This window comes from Homo sapiens, chromosome 15 (assembly GCF_000001405.40).
Source record: "Homo sapiens chromosome 15, GRCh38.p14 Primary Assembly".
Taxonomy (NCBI): Eukaryota; Metazoa; Chordata; class Mammalia; order Primates; family Hominidae; genus Homo; species Homo sapiens.
The window spans coordinates 22,142,689-22,153,632 of record NC_000015.10 but is presented as its reverse complement, the minus strand read 5'-3'; the positions used below and the strand labels follow the sequence as shown (position 1 = coordinate 22,153,632).

General features: G+C 45.7%; 1 long non-coding RNA gene and 1 pseudogene across 1 annotated transcript; one reads left to right on the top strand and one right to left on the bottom strand.

The window, feature by feature from the left end:
• On the top strand, positions 715 to 1,415 carry RPS8P10 (ribosomal protein S8 pseudogene 10; annotated as a pseudogene).
• On the bottom strand, positions 4,301 to 8,155 carry LOC107984743 (uncharacterized). The gene is made up of 3 exons (XR_001751429.2): positions 7,968 to 8,155; positions 7,597 to 7,882; positions 4,301 to 4,910 (listed from the first exon to the last, which is right to left on the bottom strand). It is a non-coding gene; the product is annotated as an uncharacterized LOC107984743 (long non-coding RNA).
• Positions 8,156 to 10,944: the final 2,789 nt, after the last annotated feature.

Sequence of the window (10,944 nt, the reverse complement as noted above, 5' to 3'; positions counted from 1 at the left end):
GAGAATATACTGTTACTACTTTATCTTTATCTTAAAATATACTCTTCCATCTGAGGTGAAAATTAATCCAGATGGTAGAACTTATTGCAGTTACTACAGCATTTTAGGAAATCAAAAGCTGCAGAACAAACATATGGACAGATGGCAGGTATGTTTTTGGAATCGTAAACAACTTTGCGATGATTGTAAAACCAAGGGGTGTCTCACAAGGGCTGGAAACCTCTCAAAATGAAACAACACACTGAGGATCTTTGAGAAGTACTCTGACCTCCAAGCGAGCTGGCTGATATGGAGGCTGAGCTACATGTAGAAAGCCAAAGGAATTTCTGCAGGACATCATCATGCCAAGCACAGCAGTAAACTGAGTCCCAGCCCTTTTCACACGCTCAATGGTTAGATCTTGGGAAGGAATCAAAGAAGCCATTGTAAAATATCAAAATTTAAACCCTGATTTTGAATTTAAAATGTGTTAACATATGGTTGTGGCCTACACTCAGAAAATCTGTCTCCTTCAGATGGTGTCTCAGTAGCACCACATGGTTTCAAGTGGCTATTCATTAAATTTCTCCATGAAACTACCAGATACAGAATAGATAAATTGTCACTGTCTTAAATCAACCCTTGGGAAAGGAAAACTGTGTAAAGACAGCAGAGAGGAAACATTGTTCAAGGGAAAAACAATCTCCAGAAACTGTTGTTAAAGAAACAGAGGCCCTCTTTCCAGCCAGTGCCGAGCGATGGACATCTCTTGGGACAACTGGCACAAGTGCCACAAAACCAGGGACAAGAGAAAGCCCTACCACAAGAAGCGGAAGTATGAGTTGGGGCACCCAGCTGCCAACACCAAGACTGGCCCCCGCCGCATCCACACAGTCCGTGTGTGGGGAGGTAACAAGAAATACTGTGCCCTGAGGCTGGACGTGAGGAATTTCTCCTGGGGCTCAGAATGTTGTGCTCATAAAACAACGATCATCGATGTTGTCTACAATGCATCTAATAACGAGCTGGTTCGTCCCAAGACCCTGGTGAAGAATTGCATTGTGCTCATTGACAGCACACTGTACCGACAGTGGTACGAGTCCCACTATGCGCCGCCCCTGGGCTGCAAGAAGGGAGCCAAGCTGACTCCTGAGGAAGAAGAGATTTTGAACAAAAAGCGATCTAAAAAAATTCAGAAGAAATATCATGAAAGGAAAAAGAATGCCAAAATCAGCAGTCTCCTGGGGGAGCAGTTCCAGCAGGGCAAGCTTCTTGCATGCATTGCTTCAAGGCCAGGACAGTGTGGCTGAGCAGATGGGTATGTGCTAGAGGGCAAAGAGTTGGAGTTCTATCTTAGGAAAATCAAGGCCCGGAAGGGCAAATAAATCCTTGTTTTGTCTTCACCCATGTAATAAAGGTGTTTATTGTTTTGTTCCAAAAAAAAAAGAGAAACAGAGGCATCACACTTACTAGAAAAACATATTCTATTTCATATATTATGGTGGTATGACGTGATGTTTTGACATATGCAGGCATTGTGAAATTATTAAATCAAGTAAATAAACATGCCCATCACCTCACATACTTATTTTTTATGGTGTAAACGTGTAAAATCTACTCTATTATCAGTTTTCAAGTATATAGTACATTAGTACCATGGAAGTCACCCTGCTGTGCAATAGATCTTCAAACTAATTCCTTCTGTCAAACCAAAACTCTGTACCCTTTCACCAATGCCTCAGCTTTCACATGCCCCTGACACCAGCCCCTGGTTGGCACCATTCTTCTCTCTACTTCTCTGAGTTCAACATTTTTAGATTGCATGTGTAAGTGAGATTATGGAGTAATTTTTTATACCTGGCTTATTTCACTTAACATAAAGAGTCAAATGCTCAACATCACTAATCATCAGGGAAATGCAAATTAAAACCACGATGAGATATCACCTCACACATGTTACAATGGCTTAGTCTCAGTCTGTCTTTGTGTTACTATAACCGAATACCAGAGACTGGGCAATTTCTAAAGAAAAGGAATTTATACTTTATGGTGCTTGAGTCAGAGAAGTCTAATATCAAGGCACTGACATCTCACAAGGGCCTTCTCACTGTGTCGTCTCACAGCAGAGGTGGGTGAGCAAGAGATCATTTGTCCACGAGAGAAAGGAGACTATCTTTTATTAGAAATTCACTCCTGTAATAACTAACCCACTCCAATGACAGTGACATTAATCCATTCATGAGGACAGAGCCTTCATGACCTAATCACATAATAAAGGTCCCACCTCTCAACACTGTTGCATTAAAGATTTTTTCCAAATCCTAAACTTTGGGAGACACATTTAAGTCATAGCATTCCATTCCTAATATCAAAATTTATGTCCTTATCACAATGCAAACTACATTCATTCCATCCCAATTGTCTCCAAAGTCTTATCCAGCATCAGTGCAAAAGTCTGAAGTCTAAAGTCTCATCTAAATCAGATGTGAGTGTGACTCAAGGCACAATTTAGCCTGATATAAATTTTTTCCATCTGTGAGCCTATAAAGTCAAAACAAGTTATCTACTTTCAAATACAGTGAACAATGGGGCAGGTATGGGATAGAAATTCCCATTCCAAAGCTCAGAGACAGGGAAGGAGAAAGCAGTGCCTAGTTCAAAACCCAACAGAGGAAAAAAACATTAAGTCTTATAGCTGAGACTTAATGTTTTTTTCCCTTGTTGGGTTTTGAACTAGTTCAACCATTGTAGAAGTCCTTGTGGTGATTCCTCAGGGATCTAGAACTAGAAATACCATTTGACCCAGCCATCCCATTACTGGGTATATACCCAAAGGACTATAAATCATGCTGCTATAAAGACACATGCACACATATGTTTATCGCAGCACTATTCACAATAGCAAAGACTTGGAACCAATCCAAATGTCCAACAACGATAGACTGGATTAAGAAAATGTGGCACATATACACCATGGAATACTATGCAGCCATAAAAAATGATGAGTTCATGTCCTTTGTAGGGACATGGATGAAATTGGAAATCATCATTCTCAGTAAACTATCGCAAGAACAAAAAACCAAACACCGCATATTCTCACTCATAGGTGGGAACTGAACAATGAGAACACATGGACACAGGAAAGGGAACATCACACTCGGGGGACTGTTGTGGGGTGGGGTGAGGGGGGAGGGATAGCTTTAGGAGATATACCTAATGCTAAATGACGAGTTAATGGGTGCACACACCAGCATGGCACATGTATACATATGTAACTAACCTGCACATTGTGCACATGCACCCTAAAACTTAAAGTATAATAAAAAAAAAGTCTTATAGCTGGAAAATCATCCTCTTTGACGGCATCTTGTGCACACTGGGGAGGGGGAAGGGCCCCCAAGGCCTCCAGCAGTCTTGCCTCTATGGATTTTCTGGGTTCAGTCCACTCAGCCCCTCTCACAGGTGGGACTCTCAGGCCTCTAGCTCTCCTAGGCTGACTGGAAACTCTTTGTGGTGCCTCCAAACCCATATTTCTGCTTGGCATTGTGCTAAGGGTCCAGTGTGGTGACTCTGTCTCTGCAACAACTCACTGCCCGAGACCTTAGGCTGTCCACAGCATTCTTTGAAATCTAGGTGGAGAAAGCCATGCCCTCGTGGTATTCTGCACACCTGCAGAATTAGCAATACATGGATGCCATGGAAGTTGATGACTTGTACCATTAAAGTGATGGCTTGAGCCACACCTAGGTCCTCCTGAGCCACATCATGGGCAGCCAAGGAGTGCTGTGCCTGGACACAGGGAACAGAGTCCTAAAGTGCCTGCTAGAAGTGAGGCCATAGATTTGCTTCAAATTTCTCCCACCATATATCCTCACTCATGGCTCTGAACTTCCACTTTACAGAAAGACCTAGGGATGAGCACAATTCAGCCACATTCCTTGCCACTTTAAGGGAAGGATGGCCTTTGCTCCATTTTCCGATGAGCTATTCTTCTTTTTCTCCTGAGACCTCATCAGAACGGCCTTTATTGTCCACGGTTCTACCAACATTCTAATGATCATCACCTAAATAATCTCTAAGAAGTTTCAGAATTTCCTCACAGCTGTCTTCTTCTGAGTCCTCAAAAGAATACCCCTAGTGTTCTAGTCATGGCAATCTAGACTTTTTATAACCTGATCCTCCAAATTATTCCAGTCTCTGTGCATTACTACTTCCACTTCTACATTTTGGGATATTTGTTATCACAACAGCCCCACCTCTTGATACTGATTTTTTGTCTTAGTCCACTTTGTGGTGCAATGAGTGAATACCACACACTGGCTAATGTGTAAGGAAAAGAAATTTATTTTCTCCCAGCTCTAGAGGCTGGGAAGTCAATGTCAAGGTGCTAGCATCTGGCAAGAGCCTTCTTGCTGTGATGCCCATGTGGAAGGCAGGAGAGCATGTGCAAAGGATGGAAAGGGGGCTAAACTCATTTTTTAATGAGGAACCCAGGCCTGTAGTAACTAATCTGCTACCACAATAAGTAACCTACTCTGATGATAATGGCATTAATTGCTTCATGAGGGCAGAGCCCTCTCGGCCTAATCATTTCTTAACATTCTCACCTCTGGACACTATGGAATTTGGGATTAAGTTTCCAATACACACCCTTTCTAAACAGCAGGGGCTTTTTAATAGGTTTACCACCCAAGGCTGCAGGAGGCTCTGAAGTAGTGGGTGGCTGTCCTTTGTGAGAATGGAGAGAAGTGAACTGACTGATGGAGACACAAGTAGATGAAGTAAAGGCATTCATTGCTTCATTACATGGATGGTGAGGGCGATTGAAGGCATTAACGGATTAAAGATGGTGGCAAAACCATCTGAGGTGGAGACCACGGGGAGCCCATCAGAAATGGAGGACACGTCCCAATAAATGGTGCTTCATTTCCCTGCAAAGCAGATGAAAGCAAAGAAGAAAACACAATGCCATAGTGTACACTGAGCAGTGGATTGAGAGAAGAGTTTCCTAAGGCGTAACTGACAGAGTGGAGAAGACACACGAATCTTTGCATGGTGCTAACATTTGGACTGTGGCTTCATTATTTCTTATTAATATTTTACTGAAATATCACTAGAAGGAGACTGAAAATGAAGTGTGAAAAGTTAAATGGGATTTCTGCTCTAAGTCCTTTTCAGATGAGAGGAACTGGGGAATTCCAGGGAAGAAACAATAATAGCTGCTGAGCAAGGCTTTTGCAGGGCAGGACAAGGAATCCCCAAAGAGAAAACGGAAACCTCAGCTTCACTTTGCATCTGCTCCTGAGCCAGGTCTTGAGCGACCCCTGTAGGTCCTGAGCGCCCCCGGTAGGTTCTGAGCATTCCGTGGTTGCTGGGCGCCCTCTGGTGGTGTCTGAGCCCTTCTGGTGGTTTCTGAGCCCCCCTCTTAGAGTCTGAGCCACCCTATTAGTGTCTGAGCCACCCTATTAGTGTCTGAGGACCCTGGTGGTGTCTGAGCACAGGTGAGCTCCTCTGAAGGAAGGGTCTACATGGGGACAGGCGTGCTTGTCTCAGGGAAGGGTCCACATGGGGACAGGTGAGCTCATCTGAGGGAAGGGTCCATGTGGGGACAGGTGTGCTTGTCTGAAGGAAGATTCCACATGGAGACAGCTGTGCTTGTCTCAGGGAAGGGTCCACATGGGGACAGGTGAGCTCGTCTGAGGGAAGGGTCCATGTGGGGACAGGTGTGCTTGTCTGAAGGAAGATTCCACATGGAGACAGCTGTGCTTGTCTCAGGGAAGGGTCCACATGGGGACAGGTGAGCTCGTCTGAGGGAAGGGTCCATGTGGGGACAGGAGTGCTTGTCTCAAGGAAGGGTCCTCACGTGGACAGGTGTGCTCTTTTGAGGGAAGGATTGACCTGGGGACAGGCATGCTTGTCTGAGGTAAGGGTCCACCTGGGGACAGGTGTGATTCCCTCAGGGAAGGGTCCACGTGGGGACAGAGGTGCTTGTCTAAGGCAAGAATCCACGTAGCGACAGGTGAGTTCGTCTCAGGGAGGGGTCCAGGTGGGGCGAGTTGTGCTTATCTGAGAGAAGCATCGAAGTGGGGACAGGTGTGCTTGTCTCAAGGAAGGGTCCACGTGGGGACAGGTGTGGTAGTCTCAGGGAAGGGCCCACATGGGGACAGGTGTGCTCATCCGAGAGAAGGGTCCATGTAGGGACAGGTGTGCTTGTCTCAGGGAAGGGTTCATGGGGACAGGTGAGCTTGTCTGAAGGATGGGTCCACATGGGGACTGGTGTGCTCCTCTGAGGGAAGGGTCCACGTGGTGACAGGTGAGTTTATCTGAAGGAAGGGTCCACATGGGGACAGTTATGCTCCTCTGAGGGAAGGGTCCATGTGGGGACAGGTGTGCTTGTCTCAGGGAAAGGTCCACGTGGGGACAGGTGTGCTCGCCTTGGGGAAGAGGACAGATGAGCTCATCTCAGGGAAGGGGCCACGTGGGGACAGGTGTGTTTGTCTCAGGGAAGGGTCCACATGGGTACACCTGTGCTCCTCTGAGCAAAGAGTCCACATGGAGACAGGTGTGCTTGTCTGAAGGAAGGGTCCACGTGGGGACAGGTGTGCTCCTCCAAGGGAAGGGTCCATGTGGGGACAGGTGTTCTTGTCTCAGGGAAGGGTCCACGTGGGGACAGGTGTGCCCCTCTGAGGGAAATGTCCACGTGGGGACAGGTGTGCTTGTCTCAGGGAAGGGTCCACGTGGGGACAGGTGTGCTCGTGTGGAGGAAGGTTCCACCTGGGGACAAGTGTGCTTGACTCAGGGAAGGGTCCACTTGGGGACATGTGTGCTTCTCTCAGAGAAGGGTCTACGTGGGGACAGGTGTACTCATTTGAGGGAAGGGTCCACGTGGGGACAGGGGGGCTCATCTGAAGGAAGGATCCACGTGGGGACAGGTGTCCTTGTCTCAGGGAAGGGTGCACGTGGGGACAGATGTGCTCATCTGAAGGAAGGATCCACGTGGGGACAGGTGTGCTCCTCTCAGAGAAGGGTCCACGTGGGGACAGGTGTGCTTGTTTGAGGGAAGGGTCCACCTGGGGACAGGTGTGCTCGTCTGAGGGAAGGGTCCACCTGGGGACAGGTGGGGTCATCTCATGGAAGGGTCCACGTGGGGACAGATGTGGGAGAGGGTGTGCCTGGTCTGAACTGGAGTTTGAGGGAAGAATTTCTCGAGCAAGTGTGAATCCTGAACATGACCTGTTTTTCAGGAAGGAAAGCAGACCACATGGAAGCAGATGAAGGAAAAAGCAGACCACGTGGGAGCCGGATGAAGGGAAGGTTTCTATGAAATTGAAACAGCCTATCTGCCAGTGGAGAAAGTTATTTCATCCTTTTTTGCCTGCAGTGAGAAAGGGGGAAATCAGAGCCACAGAGAAGAGAATGAAATGTCCCTGAGGACATCTGAGAATTAGAGAAAAGAAAGCCTCAGATTCTAAGGAGAAGTCCTCGCCACTTCCCATCTGAGCCTGCTCTTCAGTGGACCCAAGTGTCGAGTGCATCCTGCACATCTCAGGCCCCCAGGAGGGAGGGTCCTGTCTGGGTTCACACGGCATCCCCTCACTGTGTCTCCCACAGGAATACCTGGCTGTCCTGTGGGTTCCTGGAGCTCCGCCGCAGGGAGCGCTGCTTGTTGGATGAGTCTCTGGATGGAGATGAGGCTCTTGAGAGGCGGCGGTTGTTCGTGTTTCTCTTATAATCGATGCTCCTCAGCCAGTGCAACCCCTTGTCTAGGGGCCGGTGGACCGGGCCTCCGCAGTAACCACTGGCTGTGATGGAGAATCCGGAGTCGTGCCAGGTGAGGAAGGGGGCAGCCACGGCTTCTCCAGTCTTGAGCCTCACTCCTGCTGCTGCACCTGGGACAGGACAGCTGGGAACAAGAACAGTCAGTCCCTGTCAGTCATGGGACATCACAGTTATTGCCACAGCCCGTGTCTGGCCTCTGAGATGCTCACCTTCGGGAGGTGTCAGCAGGCACAGGAGAAGGCCCAGCAATCTCATCTTCTTCTGAACCCACCTTTGTCTTCCCCAGAGACACCGTCCCAGTCTGAGAAGTGACTGGATGCTTCCACAGCCCAGGGGTGGATTTTACCCCAGAGCTAAAACAAAAAATTACACGGGGTGGATGACTATTTATTTATTTATTTATTTAGAGACAGAGTCTCGCTCTGTCGCCCAGGCTGGAGTGCGGTGGTGCAATCTCGGCTCACTACAACCTCTTTCTCCCGGGTTGAAGCGATTCTCCTGCCTCAGCCTCCCTAGTAGCTGGGATTACAGGTGCCCAGCAGCATGCCTGACTAATTTTTGTAATTTTAGTAGAGACAGGGTTTTGTCACTTAGCCAGGCTGGTCTCAAACTCCTGACCTCATGTGATCTGTCTGCCTCGGCCTCCCAAAGTGCTGGGATTATAGGCATGAGCCACCGTGCCCAGCCTAGCTGACTCTTTTTATAAGTAGAAAAGTTAAGATATGGCCCCTACCTCCTGGTAGTTGAGCGTTGTGTAGAGTGCCTTTCCTCCTAAACTCATGTGGCACGCATGTCACTTGACATTTGGTGGTTGGAGGACACTTGGTCTGCGAGACAAATGGGAATAGGCAAAGGACAGCCCTGCCATTCTGATCCCAGGGCTACTTTCCTTCCAACCCCTCTTCCCTCCTGCCCTTCCTTGTTTCTAGCGCAGCTCCCCCTATCCACAGGCCCAGGTCTTGCTTCCTCAGTGCTGAGCCCAGCACAGCTCCTGGGCTCTTTCCTTGGGTCCCACCTGTGGTGTGGCTCTCCTCACCCATGGAGCTTTGGACAACATCACATTACTGTCTCAGGAGCTCTACGCCAGCCCTGCACTCTAACCCATTCTGTGATGCCAGAGACAAGGACCTCAGGACCTACCGGGGCTGGATAAAATAATGTTCTTTGATTTACTCAGGAACTAATTCTCAATAGTTGGGGGAAGAGACAGACACATCCCTTTTTAAGTACTCCATTATCCAGACATTTAAAATGCATCTAAAGTGTGAGGATTTCTACTCTAAATGCATCTCTTCCTCTTGTTCTCTTGAGGCTATTCCTGTATATGAATTACTCATTACCTCAACTCATTACTGATAACACTTTTTTTGGAAATTCATTCATAATAAATAATATGAAAGCAGTACCAATGTCCTCATATACAACTTTTAAAGTTTGTATTGTGATAAGAATACCTACCATGAGATACACTCTCTCAGCAAATTTTTAAGTGTACTGTGCAGTCAAGTTATCTAGACTCAGGATTCTGTGCATCCAGTCTCCAGAACTTATTCATCTTGCAGAACACCAATTTTATACACACAAATTAGCAACTTACAGCTGTTTTGTTTTGGTTTTGTTTTGATTTTGGGGGGCAATTTTTAGGATTTTCTACATACAAGACATGTCATCTGTAAACAGTGACACCTTTACTCCTCTCTTTCTGATTTAGTAACTTTTTCTTGCCTAAGTTCTCTGACTAGGACTTACAATACTATGTAGAACAGAATTGGTGAGATAGGGCATCCTTGTCTTCTCCATCATCTAAGTGGAAGCTTGTTCAGTGTTTCAGCATTGGCTATGATGCTAACTGTGGGCTTTTAAATATGGCTTTCAATATGTCCAGATAATTTCCCTTTATTTGTAGTTTGTTAAGAGGTTTTATCATGGAAAGATGTTGAAATTTGTCAAATGATTTTTATGCATCTGATGAGATAATATTTTAGTCTTTCATTATGTTAATGTGGTCCATCAGATTCAGTGATGTTTAGATGTTGCACCATCCCAATATTCCAGAGAGACATTCCACTGGATCATGGCAAATGATCCTTGTAATGTGCTGTTCAGTTTGATTTGCCAATATTTTGTTGAGTACTTTTTGCATCTTTGTGTTTCAGTAAGAGTGGTCTGTAATTTATGTTAATTTGGTGTTTGCCTGGTTTTGATTTCAGGGCAATGCTGACTTTATAAAATAAGTTTAGAAGTATTTCTTCATCTTAAAACTTTTGGGAGGTCGAGATGGGTGGATCACAAGGTCTGGAGATCGAGACCATCCTGGCTAACAAGGTGAAACCCCATCTCTACTAAAAATACAAAAAATTAGCCGGGCATGGTGGTGGGCACCTGTCATCCCAGCTACTCAGGAGGCTGAGGCAGGAGAATGGCGTGAACCTGAGAGGTGGAGCTTGCAGTGAGCAGAGATCATGCCATGCACTCCAGCCTGGGCAACAGAGCGAGACTCCATCTCAAAAAACAAACAAACAAACAAACAAAAAAACTTTTGGAAGTGGTTCCAAGCTCGCTTTCGATTACTGATTCAGTCTTTTACTAGTAATAGTTCTGTTTCTACTTTTTCAAGATTCAATCTTGGAAGATTGTACATATCTAGGAATTTATCCATTTCTTCTATGTTATCCATTGCTGAGTATACAATTTATTTTTAGTAAGCTCATGAGATAAATGGCCAAACATTAAAAAACGGAGTGAGGGAGTCAGGGACAGACAGGAGACAGTTGAAAGAAAGAAAAATACATTTCAGTCTCCTAGAGTTAGAAGGAATTCTAGAAGGTTTTGTTTAAGATAACAAAAGTGTAGGAATTCCTTATGCTGTGGCTGGGGGCATCCTGGAGAGATGCTGCTGCCTGGAGGCCCAGGCCCCTTCCTGTCCTGGCTCATCATCAGGCTCAGAGGAACTCGAGACCTTAGGGAAAGAGGAGCAATAGAGGGGAAATATTAGCATAGGTTCCAAAAATGAAAAGGAACTAAATAATCATGAAACTACATATAGATATTTTATATAAATGTAATTATTATAAAATTATAATAGTATATTTCTAATATAATTATGACAGTATTATAATTATTTATATAATTATAACAGTATTATAATTATTTATATAATTATAACAGTATTATAATTATTTATAT